At 36.7% G+C, this 17675-nt stretch overlaps 1 protein-coding gene across 5 annotated transcripts in view; it reads right to left on the bottom strand.

Moving 5' to 3' along the window:
- Positions 1–17675, bottom strand: part of SKP2 (S-phase kinase associated protein 2) — a 41420-nt gene that overhangs the window by 4339 nt on the left and 19406 nt on the right. For 2 of the 5 annotated variants that reach the window (NM_005983.4, NM_001243120.2), the window contains 4 exons: positions 17459–17589; positions 12176–12227; positions 11900–12007; positions 4873–7374 (listed from right to left, as the gene is read on the bottom strand). In NM_005983.4, coding sequence (NP_005974.2) covers positions 7161–7374; positions 11900–12007; positions 12176–12227; positions 17459–17589 — 505 coding nt within the window. In that variant the 3' untranslated portion in view covers positions 4873–7160. Of the gene's footprint in view, positions 1–4872; positions 7375–10381; positions 10595–11899; positions 12008–12175; positions 12228–17458; positions 17590–17675 lie in introns of those variants that run through there. The other 3 variants (XR_001742203.3, NM_032637.4, XM_047417536.1) reach the window with 3 other exon arrangements.

Below are 17675 nucleotides of genomic sequence, written 5' to 3'. Positions count from 1 at the left end.
TCTCCGAGCTAAAGGAGGAAGTTTGAACCCATGGCAAAGAAGCTAAAAACTTTGAAAAAAGATTAGACGAATGGCTAACTAGAATAACCAGTGTAGAGAAGTCCTTAAATAACCTGATGGAGCTGAAAACCATGGCACAAGAACTGCATGATGCATGAACAAGCTTCAGTAGCCAATTTGATCAAGTGGAAGAAAGGGTATCAGTGATTGAAGATAAAATGAATGAAATGAAGTGAGAAGTTTAGAGAAAAAAGAGTAAAAAGAAACGAACAAAGCCTCCAAGAAATATGGGACTATGTGAAAAGACCAAATCTATGTATGATTGGGGTACCTGAAAGTGACGGGGAGAATGGAACCAAGTTGGAAAACACTCTGCAGGATATTATCCAGGAGAATGTCCCCAACTTACAAAGGCAGGCCAACATTCAAATTCAGGAAATACAGAGAACACCACAAAGAAACTCCTCGAGAAGAGCAACCCGAAGGCACATAATTGTCAGATTCACCAAGGTTGAAATGAAGGAAAAAATGTTAAGGGCAGCCAGAGAGAAAGGTCGGGTTACCCATAAAGGGAAGCCCATCAGACTAACAGTGGATTTCTCGGCAGAAACTCTACAAGCCAGAAGAGAGTGGGGGCCAATATTCAACATTCTTAAAGAAAAGAATTTTCAACCCAGAATTTCATATCCAGCCAAACTAAGCTTCATAAGTGAAGGAAAAATAAAATCCTTTACAGACAAGCAAATGCTGAGAGATTTTCTCGCCACCAGGCCTGCCCTGCAAGAGCTCCTAAAGGAAGCACTAAACATGGAAAGGAACAACCGGTACCAGCCACTGCAAAAACATGCCAAATTGTAAAGACCGTTAATGCTAGAAAGAAACTGCATCAACTAACGAGCAAAATAACCAGCTAACATCATAATGACAGGATCAAATTCACAAATAACAATATTAACCTTACAGGTAAATTGACTAAATGCTCCAATTAACAGACACGGACTGGCAAATTGGATAGAGTCAAGACCCATCAGTGTGCTCTATTCAGGAGACCCATCTCACGTGCAGAGATACACATAAGCTCAAAATAAAGGGATGCAGGAAGAACTACCAAGCAAATGGAAAACAAAAAAAGGCAGGGGTTGCAATCCTAGTCTCTGATAAAACAGACTTTAAACCAACAAAGATCAAAAGAGACAAGGCCATTACATAATGGTAAAGGGATCAATTCAACAAGAAGAGCTAACTATCCTAAATATATATGCACCCAATACAGGAGCACCCAGATTCATAAAGCAAGTCCTTAGAGACCTACAAAGAGACTTAGACTCCCACACAATAATAATGGGAGACTTTAACACCCCACTGTCAACATTAGACAGATCAACAAGACAGAAAGTTAAAAAGGATATCCGGGAATTGAACTCAGCTCTCCACCAACTGGACCTAATAGACATCTACAGAACTCTCCACCCCAAATCAACAGAATATACATTCTTCTCAGCACCACATAGCACTTATCCCAAAAATTGACCACATAGTTAGAAGTAAAGCACTCCTCAGCAAATGTAAAAGAACAGAAATTATAACAAACTGTCTCTCAGACCACAGTGTGATCAAACTAGAACTCAGGATTAAGAAACTCACTCAAAACTGCTCAACTACATGGAAATTGAACAACCTGCTCCTGAATGACTACTGGGTACATAACGAAATGAAGCCAGAAATAAAGATGTTCTTTGAAACGAATGAGAACAAAGACACAACATATCAGAATCTCTGGTACATTTAAAGCAGTGTGTAGAGGGAAATTTATAGCACTAAATGCCCACAAGAGAAAGCAGGAAAGATCTAGAATTGATACCCTAACATCACAATTGAAAGAACTAGAGAAGCAAGAGCAAACACATTCAAAAGCTACCAGAAAGGAAGAAATAACTAAGATCAGAGCAGAATTGAAGGAGACAGACACACAAAAAAGCCTTCAAAAAATCAATGAATCCAGGAGCTGGTTTTTTTGAAAAGATCAACAAAATTGATAGACCGCTAGCAAGAGTAATAAAGAAGAGAGAAGAATCAAACGCAATAAAAAATGATAAAGGGGATATCACCACCAATCCCACAGAAATACAAACTACCATCAGAGAATACTATAAACACCTCTACGCAAATAAACTAGAAAATCTAGAAGAAATGGATAAATTCCTCGACACATACATCCTCCCAAGACTAAACCAGCAAGAACTTGAATCCCTGAATAGACCAATAACAGGCTCTGAAACTGAGGCAATAATTAATAGCCTACCAACCAAAAAAAGTCGAGGACCAGATAGATTCACAGCCAAATTCTACCAGAGGTACAAGGAGGAGCTGGTACCATTCCTTCTGAAACTATTCCAATCAATAGAAAAAGAGGGAATCCTCCTTAACTCATTTTGTGAGGCCAGCATCATCCTGATACCAAAGCCGGGCAGAGACACAACAAAAGAGAATTTTAGACCAATATCCTTGATGAATACCAATGCAAAAATCCTCAATAAAATACTGGCAAACCGAATCCAGCAGCATATCAAAAAGCTTATCCACCACGATCAAGTGGGCTTCATCCCTGGGATGCAAGGCTGGTTCAACATATGCAAATCAATAAATGTAATCCAGCATATAAACAGAACCAACAACAAAAACCACATGATTATCTCAATAGATGCAGAAAAGGCCTTTGACAAAATTCAACAACCTTCATGCTAAAAACTCAATAAGGTATTGATGGGGCATATCTCAAAATAATAAGAGCTATTTATGACAAACCCACAGCCAATATCATACTGAATGGGCAAAAACTGGAAGCATTCCCTTTGAACACTGGCCTAAGACAGGGATGACCTCTCTCACCACTCCTATTCAACATAGTGTTGGAAGTTCTGGCCAGGGCAATCAGGAAGGAGAAAGAAATAAAGCGTATTCAATTAGGAAAAGAGGAAGTCAAATTGTCCCTGTTTGCAGATGACATGATTGTATATTTAGAAAACCCCATCGTCTCAGCCAAAATCTCCTTAAGCTGATAAGCAACTTCAGCAAAGTCTCAGGATAGAAAATCAATGTGCAAAAATCACGAGCATTCTTATACACCAATAACAGATAAACAGAGAGCCAAATCATGAGTGAACTCCCATTCACAATTGCTTCAAAGAGAATAAAATACCTAGGAATCCAACTTACAAGGGATGGGAAGGACCTCTTCAAGGAGAGTTACAAACCACTGCTCAACAAAATAAAAGAGGACACAAACAAATGGGAGAACATTCCATGCTCATGGATAGGAAGAATCAATATCGTGAAAATGGCCATACTGCCTAAGGTAATTTATAGATTTAATGCCATCCCCATCAAGCTACCAATGACTTTTTTCACAGAATTGCAAAAAACTACTTTAAAGTTCATATGGAACCAAAAAAGAGCCCGTATTGCCAAGACAATCCTAAGCAAAAAGAACAAAGCTGGAGGCATCATGCTACCTGACTTCAAACTATCCTACAAGGCTACAGTAACCAAAACAGCATGGTACTGGTACCAAAACAGAGACATAGATCAATGGAACAGAACGGAGCCCTCAGAAATAATACCACACATGTACAACCATCTGATCTTTGACAAACCTGACAAAAATAAGAAATGGGGAAATGATTCCCTATTTAATAAATGGTGCTGGGAAAACTGGCTAGCCATATGTAGAAAGCTGAAACTGGATCCCTTCCTTACACCTTATACAAATATTAATTCAAGATGGATTAAAGACTTAGACCTAAAACCATAAAAACCCTAGAAGAAAACCTAGGCAATACCATTCAGGACATAGGCATGGGCAAGGACTTCATGTCTAAAACACCAAAAGCAATGACAACAAAAGCTAAAATTGACAAATGGGATCTTATTAAACTAAAGAGCTTCTGCACAGCAAAAGAAACTACCATCAGAGTGAACAGGCAACCTACACTATGGGAGAAAATTTTTGCAATCTACTCATCTGACAAACGGCTAATATCCAGAATCTACAAAGAACTCAAACAAATTTACAAGAAAAAAACCACCCCATCAAAAAGTGGGCAAAGGATATGAACAGACACTTCTGAAAAGAAGACATTTATGCAGCCAAGAGACACATGAAAAAATGGTCATCATCACTGGCCATCAGAGAAATGCAAATCAAAACCACAATGAGATACCATCTCACACCAGTTAGAATGGCGATCATTAAAAAGTCAGGAAACAACAGATACTGGAGAGGATGTGGAGATATAGGATCACTTTTATACTGTTGGTGGGACTGTAAACTGGTACAACCATTGTGGAAGACAGTGTGGTGATTCCTCAAGGATCTAGAACTAGAAATACCATTTGACCCAGCCATCCCATTACTGGGTATATACCCAAAGGAGTATAAATCATGTTGCTATAAAGACACATGCAAACGTATGTTTATTGCAACACTATTCACAATAGCAAAGACTTGGAACCAACCCAAATGTCCATCAATGATAGACTGGATCAAGAAAATGTGGCACATATACACCATGGAACACTATGCAGCCATAAAAAATGATGAGTTCATGTCCTTTGTAGGGACATGGATGAAGCTGGAAACCATCATTCTCAGCAAACTACCGTAAGGACAAAAAAACCAAACACCACATGTTCTCACTCATAGGTGGGAATTGAACAACGAGAACACCTGGACACAGGAAGGGGAACATCACACACCAGGACGTGTCATGGGGTGGGGGCAGAGGGGAGGGATAGCATTAGGAGATATACCTAATGTAAATGACAAGTTAATGGGTGCAGCACACCAACATGGCACATGTATACATATGTAACAAACCTGCACGTTGTGCACATGTACCCTAGAACTTAAAGTATAATTTAAAAAAAAAGATAACAAGACTGTATTAGCCCCTTTTATAAAGGCATTATAAACTTTTTTTTTTAATGTGACAAGCATATGAAGTAGATGGGTCAAAAAGGACCATCTCAGGGCTCTGTTTTGAAGAGTCTTATTTAGAGGTATCTAAGCCAAATGGCATACCACACTAAATGCTTTCAAATTTTAACCACAGCACTTAAAAAAAGAGAAAGAAAAAAGGAATACAACTTAGTTTAAGCACTCATTTTTATAAAAATGTGTTTTATTGTTTTAAAACAAGTCTATAAAAGTAGAAATCACATACAAAAATACAGATTACTCTGACATGTTGGCAAAATAGCTTATGGCTGGACTTGAGTTTGGAAGTTCTGTATGTTTGAGGGCATCCGATGTCAGAGTCCAACCGGATCCTAACCCCAGCTCTTGTCACTAATCTGTAAACAATAATTTCAAGTAGTATTTAGCACTTTTTAACTATTAAGAAATTGAAGCATCATCATTTCCTGTGCAACCCAACTTTAAAATCTTCCTTAGGTCTAAGCAGATAAAGGCACTTCATAGTATGTTTCTAACATTAACAATTTTTGATTTAAAAAAAAAAAGTTAATATAAATGACTGGTGTTAGCTTTTTTTGTTGTTACATTTTGAACATACGAACAAGTCATCAATTTAAACTAGTTTTTGTGATTTTTAAGAAGTAGAATTTGGCTGGGCGCAGTTGCTCATGCCTGTAATCCCAGCACTTTGGGAGGCCAAGACGGGCGGATCATGAGGTCAGGAGATTGAGACCATCCTGGCTAACATGGTGAAACCCCGTCTCTACTAAAAATACAAAAAAATTAGCCGGGCGTGGTGGTGGGCGCCTGTAGTCCCAGCTAGTCGGGAGGCTGAGGCAGGAGAATGACGTGAACCTGGGAGGCGGAGCTTGCAGTGAGCCGAGATCGCACCACTGCACTCCGGCCTTGGTGACAGAGCGAGACTCCGTCTCAAAAAAAAAAAAAAAAAATAGAAGTAGAATTTAATCTTTTCACTTCTCTGTACCAGTTTAAAAAAATATATATCACTGATGGTATCAAAAGGTCCCACATCTGGATTTTAACTCTTATGTAGGTATAAGTAGTGCTTACTACTGAAACTGCATGGAAGATATACCTGCTTCTACTGTATATTTCTGATTGAAGAGAACATGCAGTTCCTCTTAGGGAACTGTAGGTCTGATAACCTTATATATGGATAGTTTCAAACAATTATTGCTGAGAGATCATTTAAAAAAAAAATACAATTTAAAATACTTGATTCCAGAGTAATATAAAAGTAACCTTAAGAACCTCAGCGCTAAAGGAAAACAGCAGGCAACTTCAGAATTCTCCCATCCAAATTTTCAAGAATAGAGAGTGGATTAATACCACCTTTCTAAAACAAAGCAAGTCATTTTAAAAGCTAAAGGACCCATGTTAACATAATTTGATTATCAAGTTAGAAAACCACAATTATATTTCTCATCTAATTTAGATTCTGGAAACACAGTAACTTAATGAACATTACAGGATACTTCAGATTAACCTGTCATAGAAAACTGTCTGCTGGGCCTTCAAATCCTATATTGATTCTATATCTCTGGGTTTTGTAATGTTTGGTCTTTTGTTAAGTTTTAAGGTGAATTACATGGGGTTACTTATTTCTATTAACCTAATTTCAAATCTAAAGGCAAAATTCAAATACATTTTTCTCTTTCCTATTCCTAGAAAAGATGGCCTCAGACGCTACTATCCTATGATTCTCTTTTTGTTCAGCTCATAATACAAATAGCTTATTGTTCTTCTAAGCTGTCTTATAAAGCAATACTATAAAATTAAATAGATAAAAGTTATATGGGCTATGAAGATTGTTTGCTGGTGGTAATTTTTAAGCTTGATTCTGAATAGACTTAGTAAGAAGGGCACTTGGAAGAGGTGGCTCAAATTTTGCTCTTTAAGGTATCTTGAAATTATAGGCTCACTCTCCTAAAATTTCAAAAGGCCTACAACTTTGGCTCTTAAGAGCAAAGCAGTGATAGAAGCTTTTAGAATCATTTCAAAAAGCAAGATTTCATAGTTTTCCCTCTCAAATGGCTCCCTAGTATACTTGCAGAATGAAGGCAAAGGGAAAACCAAGAATAAAACTAGCTAAGTACTCCAGCAATTGGGCTTCCTGCCTATTTTCCCTGTTCTAAAGAAGAGACACCATCCTGCAATAAATACTTCATAGACAACTGGGCTTTTGCAGTGTCAGTCGGCATTTGATGCCCCATATCTCCTGGTTCTTTTTGTTGCCAATAGTTGGCCTGGCAATGGTGGTGAAATGGGAGCAATTAATCTGTAGATGAGGAAGGGCTTCCTTTAACAGTTGAAGGGTACCATCTGGCACGATTCCAAAAACTTGTAGTGTTTTTAGTGTGGGAATTTCTCCAAGTTCACTGGAAAGGAAGAAAAAGACTTTCAGAATAGCAGTATCTATGGAAACTGTTTGACTAGAGTTATATGACCCAAATTTTACAATTTGTGTCATCTACAAAATGCAGTCTGAAAGTGTAATTTACAATAAATGATTTGAGAAAATAGCAAATTAAACTGGAAAGCACAGACCATATAGCTTGAGCAACATGTCATTAGGAAACACACTGCTGCATTTTATTGAATGAGGTTCCTAATAACCTTAGAAACTCAGATTTATTTAAGAATCCAACCATATTTGCTTCCTTTCTCCAGTTGTGATTTATACAGTGATCTGAATGGGGTTACTGTGTTATGAGAAGAAACTAGCAAGTGAGTGATGGTAAAAGCAAATGTTTTACTGCGGCACCAGTTGGAACCACCACAGGTTACATGCAAATTAAGGATATGAACTTGACCTTTATTTGAACTAGGCTCATCTCTTAAAGGGAGATGCTGTCAGGACTGATGAACTTCTTAATAATGGTTCATAGTCAACAAGTCCATTATGTGTGATGAAAACTACCACTGACTTCCCTAAGATATTTTAGATAGGGTTATACAGTTGGGTACAGGTAGAGACAATGGGTGAAAAATCACACCCTTTATAGGAGGTAATAGCCATCTTACCTCCCTACGTATTACCATTTTTTTTCTGCATAGATAAGCCAGTCCCTTTAGGTATTTCACATTAGATGAAATTCAACCCTGTTAACAGTGAAATTCTGTTTCACAAATTCTGTTTCTCAAATTCTGTTTCACAAATTCTGTTTTTCCAAAGTAAATACTGTTTGGTGTTGGTAATGATTTTTTCCTTCTTAACTCAGATCTATGTGCCTAGAAATTCATCTCTCTCATCTCTGTTTGCTCAAGGTTGGGACATACAGTACAAAGTCTCAGGAAAGGGAACATTTATTTTGGAATTTCAACAAAATCCTACTACAGATCAATGAGCACATCAATTACCTAAAGTCAGAAACATCCTTTATATTTTCACATTGTCAATAATTATTTTTAAAAAGCCCCAAACTTTCCTTATAACTGTCTTTCTTCCTTCTAGCCTATTCTATATACCAATTTCCAAGGCATCCTCCTAAAGCCTAGCTCATGTTAGTCATTCATCTGCTCCAAAACCTTTGATGCTTCCCTTGTGTTTACAGAACCCAGGCTGTTCAGCTAGTCTGAAGACCTTCCGTGTTTAACCTGCTCTTCCAGTCTTCCCACTACTCCCCTAAATGTATTTATTCTACATTCTACAAGGTGTCTTAAACCCCACAAATGTTTAATATACGTTAGCTGAGTACAAGATGAAGGCTAATTTATAAAATAAAAGCATTATCCAAGGGAAATAAATATGCTTGTTCACAAGGGGACAATAAGATCTAAAGGTATATAACCAAAGAAAATCAGAAAGAACAAATTGCTGTCATTAAGTAAACTGCTTTCTGGAATGTAGAAACACTGTCGAAGTAAGATCACAGTATACACAGATACTTATACTTAATCACTTACGATGACAGCAATCCAGCTCCAACTTTGAATCCCTCATGTGAAACTTGGGAAACGTTGTAATTACTATGAGAATTCTGGTTCTGGTATATCCAAATTAGCCAAATTGTGAGCCATTCTGCACTGGAGAATATTTAAGGGAAGAAACTGTAGGTGGAGTAAGAAAAGGAGGAATGGCAGATGGCAGAGGAGGACATGTTCTTGCAACAGCATTGGGAAAGAGATTTGGTGAGGAAAGAAATTAAGAACAGACTCTCAGAACACACCCGGGTGTTATATATAAGGGGGTTATATAAGATAAGATGATGGATGAAGAACCAGTTCCAAGTCAAAAATCCAGAAAGTCTCTAAAATTTTAAGGAGACAAAAAAAAAAAAATGCCCCCGGTATGTGCATTACCTACAACTCAGAATAAAAAATTTGCAAGCATCTTTTAAAAACTACAATGGAAGAGACTGAAGAGCAAACTAAGGGATAGCAAATAGAAATAAGTAGTTCAAGAGCCATTATTTCTAATGTAAGAAATGTAAAATCACACCAATGTCTTATGTATATTGAATTTTAGAAAATAAAAGATATTTATGAACTCTTTCACAGGATTGCTCCTTACCTTATCTGTACAATAATCCTGTTTTCCTTATAAAATCTTAAATGCCTCAACTACAAATGCTCCTACCACAGAAGTCTTTTAGTCTTATCTTAGATTAGTTTACTACCTCCAGCTTGGGTTTCTTACTTGAATGAGAAATAGGGAAGAATTAGAAGGAAGTTTAGACATAGAGAAGAAGACCAATTAAGAAGTAAGGGAATAAATATAATGGGAATAGGTCCTGGGGAAGAAAACTTTATAGTTTCCCAAGTATTTTAAAATATTACAGAAGAAAGACATTCAAATTGTATTTTCCCACTTCCGAGAAATAAATAGCCTTAAGTTCTTTAGCATAGATGGCTCTCTTGAAATTATTATGGAAACATCCTGGAATTTTTATTATAAACCTCAAATATATCAGCTGCCAAAATGATTGAAATTAGAGTCATTCTAATTCTTATTTTATCTCAAGAAACTTTTAAGCATAAGGTACCAACAAACTCATCCTAAAGGATTCACAATGCAAATCAGTGTACTATTTACACAATACCTAAAGAAATATACTCTTTACCTTAATGTTCAAGGACAGGATCTTTCTTCTTCTCTATTCTAGTGGTCTGACTTGTAACTAAACTCCTAATGCCCCTGTTTGTCTTATTTCATAAGATTTGTACAAATAAGAAATAATAATACAGTGAAGGTTCACAACAGGTCTGTGACTTCAGACCCGTGTTTGTAACTATCAATTCACACTGCCTCCAAGTATTACCATGCCATTATTATGCAGGTATCGCAATTACTATTACTATTATCCCACTGGATAAAAATATTAAAATGAAGAGCTCACAGCCTTCCCCTCGCCTCTGCTTGAGAAAAAGCATTTGGGTCATTACCTGCTTAGCTTCTTTCTTTCTGCAGAGAAGGAACAAAAGCAAGACACATGGATAGATTCTCTTGAGAAAAGCAACCCAAAAAGAATGATCACCACACTCCCCAGGGGGCTGCACAGGCAAAGAAGCAGGAGGCCAGATGGCAAGGACAGGAAAGAATGGATGACAAAGAAGCCTTTTTGGGTAGACGCTAGAAGCTCCTAGGAGTTCTGGATGCTAGAAAATAGAGAGGGCAGGGATTTTAATAAGAGTTTCATGCGCATGAATTTAAACCCCAACATTTGAGAGCTGGGAAAGTAAATCCTGCCATCCTATTTTAGGCAGTCCTTTCCCAAATGAGATACCAGCTCAGACCCTGAACCCCAAGATTAATTTAAAAATGATTAATTAAAATGCGTAGCTGCCAGATTTCCTAACTCTACTAGTTAACTCTGTGTAGCTGAAGTATCTGATTTATTCATTAATACTTGAAACTAACTTAAAAGATTCAAACTATGATTCTGAGGACTAAAGTTCTTTGTTCAAATTCACCACCCTTCCTACCTAGGAGCTGGAAGCTAAATTAACTTTTAGTTCATGAGCTACATAAATGAGTCCAGCAGCCGCATTCAAGACATGTTGGGCACCTGATCAACTCTAAGATACTGACCTCTTGTGGTTTTTAATAAAATTGCTACACATGTACATTTGCCATTAGGGAGACTTTTCCAGCCCTTTGGAATGAAATGCAGAAAACCTTTTCAAACAAGATATGATTCCCAGGATGAGTTGGGTATGGTGTTTCCCAAAGGAAAGATGGACCAGGCTGCTGCTTTCTTGCACTCCCTTGATTCTGTGGAAGTTGCTGAGCAGGTAAAACTAACCCTTGTATAAACTATTAGATTAGATAGTGACTATTTTGCCTCTGTCCAGGAGACCTAGGATTTAGATCCAGGTCAGCCACCAACTCACCATCAGGTTTGAATAAGTCACTTCACTTCACTTTTTAGACCTTAACATGCCCCTGTTCAAAAACAGTATCAGACTTACAATACATACCATCTACAGGCTTATATCTTTCCAATTTCTTCACTATCCAGGACTTACATCACTAGAAGATACAGAACTTTAAGCCCAGATGAAAGTTTTGGAATCAACTGGAGTTAATCCGAAAAATTTGGAAAGAAAAAAAAAAAAAGACACTAACCCACATTGGGTCTGCCTTCCCAATTACACTTCAAGTTTCCTGGAGGAAAAGGTTATCTTCTGCTTCTCTGCTAAGTCTTCTCATAGATACTAAGACAGCAAGCTAGTAATTAAAACTGCTTACAGCTAAACAATAAATGTTTAGTGAACAATCTGGATCAACTCAATTTCACCAGTTTAAGCAATACTCTGCTGGTCTTTCATAGCCAGTCTGTGGTATACTTATTACTAATGTTTCGGTTTCATATGTCTATTAATAAAAATGGATTTTCACACCAAGGGGCATCTCTGTTGTTTCCTGCCTTCTATTAAGCATTAAAAACAAAACATACTTACAGTAAAGTTTCAGGTATTATATCATAGCACCGACTGAGTGATAGGTGTTGGAGGTAGTTGAGCTGGAAAAATTCCTGAAAGCAGTCATTCTTTAGCATGACACTATCACTGTTAAGAAGGCAGAAGAAAAGATATTGAAAATCACACATTGATCCTAGATAAAGAAGACAGAAATAACCTACTGTTTAGTTGCTTCAACATTATGATCCTTTCCCAATTTAATGAGAAATCAAGATTTTTCAACTTTTGATCTAAAATAAACAAATAAAAAAATACCTTAAGTCTAGATGGACAAGATTGGGGCATCTTCTAACTAAAGTAGAGAGATCTAGGAAAAGCAAAAAAACATGATGGTCACTATTAAATGAGGAACAAGACAAGGATATTTGTTATCACTACTATCATTGAACATCATGCTGGAAGTTCAGGGCAATGCAATTAGAACCACACACTATTAGAAAGAAAAAATGATCATCTTGGAACATAAAATTTTCTACCCAAAAAGCCCAAGAGAATCATCCGAAAAAGAAAACTGTGTAAAATGACAATCTTTAGCTTATCTATGTATCAGCAATAGCAGGCTGGAAAAATAATAGGGAAAAAAATCCCATTCACAAAAGCAAAAAGTAAAATTAAACACCAGTATATATAAGCAAACAATATATTACAAAGGTAGCACCTCAGATCAACAAGAGAAATAATGGATCAGTAAAAAGAAATATTGCCACTACAACTGGAAAAAAATATTTCTCCAACTCAAATAACATATTTAAATACATTCCACATAATAAGTTCTAAATACAAAAATAATATTTTTGTATTTAGGGTAATAATATATTAAATATTAAAAATTACTAAATAAATAATTCAGGGTAATTATTTAATTGAATCTTGGTATAAGGTATTTCTAAACATAAAAGAAAACATAGGGAACACATAAATTTACTACATAAAATTTTAAAACTACCATATTAAAACAATTTAAAAAGTATCAGAAAACTGGGAATGTTTTCAACATATATTAAACAGTGAGTTAATCTTATATAAAGAGAAAAAAGATAAATCAAAAATAGGCAATGAACATGAACAAATCTACATTGCAAAATACCAAGATAATAAAAAGGAGCAAGAAATACCAAATAAAATTAGAAATATTTCTTCTCAGCCATCAAGTGAAAAAAAATTCTATTATAAAGTAGGTCTACCATAAAGTAGGTCTTCCATGTACCACAGGTAGATATTTAATTTTATTTGCAGGCTTTCAGGAGCCTGAACCCTGCGTTTTTTGGATAGTGAACTGATTCCTGCTTTTTTTGGATAGTGAACTGATTTTCTTTTTTTTTTAAAGAATTCAGAGAATTATACAGTTTACTTTTGGCCCAGTAATTCCACTTTTAGAAAAATATAGATGTGTATGAATATATTCAATGTGGCAACAGTTATATTAGCCCCTCCTCCAGTTAGTTTAATATGTTAACCTCATCCATTCCGTGAAATACACTGCTAATCATTATGAAAACGCTTTCTGATAACATTTCATACATTTAAAAAAATACTAGGATAGCTTGTAAACAAAATATATACAATGCGTTATAATTTCAACTTGGTCAAAACACACTCAAACTCACATTTACACACAAACACATACACAGAAAGAAAGAGAGAAGAAAAAAAAAAGGCTGCAAGGAAATACATCCAAAATGTTAACTGCAGTATTCAAGGGTGTTTGGATTACAGGCAACTTTTCAGAATTTGGAAGAAAGTCATGTAAGCTACTTGGCAATCAGAAAATGAATCAATAAATGTTACTTATTTAGAACAACAGGCAAACTTCATTAACATTTGAGGGTTTTTTCGTCTCACAAGTATATCCCCTCTCCTAAATTCTGGACTTGCATTTTCAACTGCCTCCTCAACATACCGTTTGGATATGAGATAGGCCTCTAAATTTATGTCTAAAATCAAATACTCAATTTCTCCCCCAAATTTCCTCCTTCCCTAAACTCTTTCCCATCTCAGCAAGTGATAATTTCACGAATCCAGTGGCTTCAGCCAAAACCCTTGAAATCATAGTGGACTATTTTTCTCACATCCCACGTTCATTGTGTCACCAAATCTCATGATGTTGGTTTTTAAAATGTGCCCAAATCTGATCATTTCTTACCACCTTAAGTGTCACCAGCCTAGTCTGCTAACTGGTCTCCCTGCTTCATACTTCCCCGCTACAGCCTTTTCTCAACACAGCACTAGCGTGAGTCTTTTAAAATGAAGTCAGTCATATTGCTCTGCTCGAAATACTCCAATGGCTTCCCATATCCCATGTCACTTAGGAAAAATTCAAAGCTTTTGCCTTGGCTTAGACAGCCCTTGGCCATCTTTCTCCTCTCACTGTTCTCCCTGCTCCCTCTCACACATTGGTTCCATATCAAGGTATTTGCACTCACTGGTCCTTTGTTCTTGAATGTTCTTCTCTCACATATGCATATGGATTCCTTCTTCACTCAGTCAGTTCTCTGGGTCCAGTACAGTCTCCTCAGAGAGGCCCTGTCTTTAACCATTCCATCTAAAAGTAGTCCTCTTTCTGCCACATTCTATCTGGTTACTCTGCTTTGCTCTTCGTCCTTGCATTTTTACCTCCTTTCATAACATTTATGAAATATGTTCACTTTCTGGCTCCCCCACTAGAAAGTAATCTTCATAAGAGTGACTTTCTCTGTTTTGTTCAAGGCTCTGTTTTGTTCAATCACTGTAGGTGCTCAATAAATATTTAATAAATGACCAAAAAATGAAAAAAGTACACAATAAAATTTTGAGGGACCAATCATCTAGCCAGCCAACTAGCCATCAGCAAAATCTGATGCAATCATACTTTGACACCACTGGAGAAAGAACGAAACATTGGGGGATAAAGGGTTAGTTTCCTCTGGCCCACACTTAAGCTCTGTCCTCCCTGGGCAGGAAGTAGTTAGTAAACAGTAGTCACTGCCAAGGTTTCCTTTTCACTGTCCCCTTCATTTCACCATAAACAGTAGACCCAACCTGAGCTAGAAGGATCTTAGAAACCACCCGTTAATCCAACCCGTTACTTCAAAGGAGAGATGATTTCAGCTACAGAAGTCAAGGTCAAATCCAAGACCAAATGTTTCTGTGCTTCATCCATTGCTCCATGGAAAGGTAGTGATGGGGGTAGTGGGGGAAGGAACAGTATTAACAGCCAACACTAATTGAACTCTTACCATGTGGCAAGAAATGTTCCACATGCTGTACATGTCTTAACTCATTTATTCTTTCCTGTAACTCTAAGAGATGGGTTCTACTTATCTCCATTTTACTGCTGAGAAAACTAAGGAACAGGCAAGTTTAGCAACTTGCTCAAGTCTACCCAGTAAATGGCAGAGTGGATATTTGAACCCAGGCCATCTGGTACCAGTCTATGAGCTAAAACCAAATCCATATTATCTCATATATAATGAAATGGTGTGTGCTATTGTTAATGACATTAAAAACTTTTTATCCCCATGGTATAATTAAAAAACTAACACTTCAATTTACAGTCTGTCTCTCTGTCCTGAATGTGTCTAGCAAGCAGCATTTTAATACCTACTATTTCTGCCAAAACTCGGTAAACAGGCTCTCTGTTCTTTCTTGGAGGAACAAAGGGAAAGATTTTAAGCCAAATTTGGACAAAACCAACAGCACTTTGCCTACAGCAGTTTCTCAACCTTGCACCCAGAGCCTCGATTCATGTCAGAAAATCTTTCAGTAAACCAGTGAAAGATCCAGATGTGGGAAAGAAATATAAACAAGGCACTGCCTTCCCTTCACCTGCAGACAGAGAAGAACCAAGAGTGATGGGATTTCACACTAAGAGGATGCTCGTGGGTGAAGAGTTTAAACTTCTTGGAGGAAAATTTGGCAGAAACTATCCAAAACTTGAGAATAGTACTTAATGCTGGACCCAGCAATTCCACTTTTAAGAATCTATCCTTAGAAATGCATCTAAAGATTTGTCTCTGTCACTCATAAAATTGTTTATAGGAGAGAAAAACTGGGAAGATTCTGAAAGTCCATTAGAATTCTGATCAACTGCATATATTGTTATTGACTTAATATAAATTATTGCATATCTATTTGATGGACTATCACATAGCCACTGATGATGACATCATGTAGTCACTGAAAATGGGGTTAAAAAGCATATTACGAAGTATTTAATATACCATGTCCCATTAAAAAAAAAAACAGTTTTTGTACAGGAAAAAGCCTAGCAAGATGTTAAGATTATTGATAATTTGCTTCCCTTTGTGTTTTTCTGTATTTTACATTTTTTTTAAATGACTGTATAACACTATGATCAGTTTTAAAATAGTAATTATAAATACTGGGTGGGGAGAGTGGTATGAAATGAAGACATGATTGCTGCTTTTACAGCTTGCTAAAGAAAGTGTTCACCTTGTCTGAAAATGCAAGTGTTTGGAATGGCAGTAGTCCAAATTTGAGTCCTTGCACAGGTGAAAGACTCGAATTTCTACCCACTCATGAGATCCTAGCAATTATTTTCTATAGCTTTATACATCTTACCAGAGGACATCTGTCCTGGAGCAGTAGTTTTATACTACTTAAATTTTAAGATCTATTCTGCAGATGTTTGATTCAAATCTTTTTCAGAATAATAAAAACTATAATAAACAAAACACACTCAAATAAGCTAGTACTAACATCAAGATATGGTTGATGTGTGTTGCTGGTTTAACTAGGTTTTGTAGAGCCCACAAACTGAATGTTGGCCTGAGACGGTGAAGCCATTTAAAAAACTTGCCATTTGTAATCACTTATCTTTGCAAATCAAGATTTTCTCATTAACATACAAGTAAAATAAAGCGTAACTGAATATTAAGGTTTTTAAAGACTGCTCCCTGCTACCTTTGACTTCTAATGCCTGTTTTCATCTAAAAATCCTCGTTGCCCTCTTGGACTGAATAAAAAGTAAAAGTCATAAATATGAACTTATTAACAGAGTTTATAATAGTTTTTCAACCTTGGAACTGATGTTTGGACCAGATTATTGTGCATGCTATTCTCCATCCTATACACCGTCCACCAGCATCCTGGCTTCCGCCCATGAGAGACCATCAGCACTCCTACAGCTGTGACAATAAAAAATGTCTCCAGACATTGACAAATGTCCCCGTACAGACAAAATAGCCCCTAATGAACAACCACTACTTAATACTAATCAAATGCTACATTTATGTATTTTTATGTTGGGGTTTACCTAACCATTTAGTTGATTAAAAGTTTTTCTGCTTAAAAATACATTGTTTTCAAGTGTAAAGGTTTCTACTGTTAGATCCTGAATTCAAACCTTGGCTCTAGCTCACTAGCTGTTTACCTTTACCTAACCATTCTGATTAGCAGCTACCTCATCTGAAAAAGGGGACTAACACATGCACTGGATTAAATGAGAAAACTTATGTGGAGGAATGATTAGGAGAAGCTCAATGAATCTCATCTATTATGTTGTGAAGGCCTCAGTGGTCCAGGCTTGGAAGCTCTAACCTGATTTCTGGAGATTCTTTCTGTAGCCGCTAAGATTCAGCTGGGTGATGGTCTCTGACACATGCGCAACAGCCACCTGTACATGCTTTTCAGTGAAATCAAAACACCAGGAGAGGTTCAGCTCATCCAGTCTGCACAAAAGAGGGGTAATAAACAAAATATGAAACCATCACACGGGAATGAGTTTGCCTCAAACTGCAAACAAAGAAAATATAAA

Source organism: Homo sapiens, chromosome 5, assembly GCF_000001405.40.
Source record: "Homo sapiens chromosome 5, GRCh38.p14 Primary Assembly".
In the NCBI taxonomy this organism is placed as follows: Eukaryota; Metazoa; Chordata; class Mammalia; order Primates; family Hominidae; genus Homo; species Homo sapiens.
The sequence above is the reverse complement of the archived record's forward strand: the minus strand, read 5'-3'. Positions and strand labels throughout refer to the sequence as shown.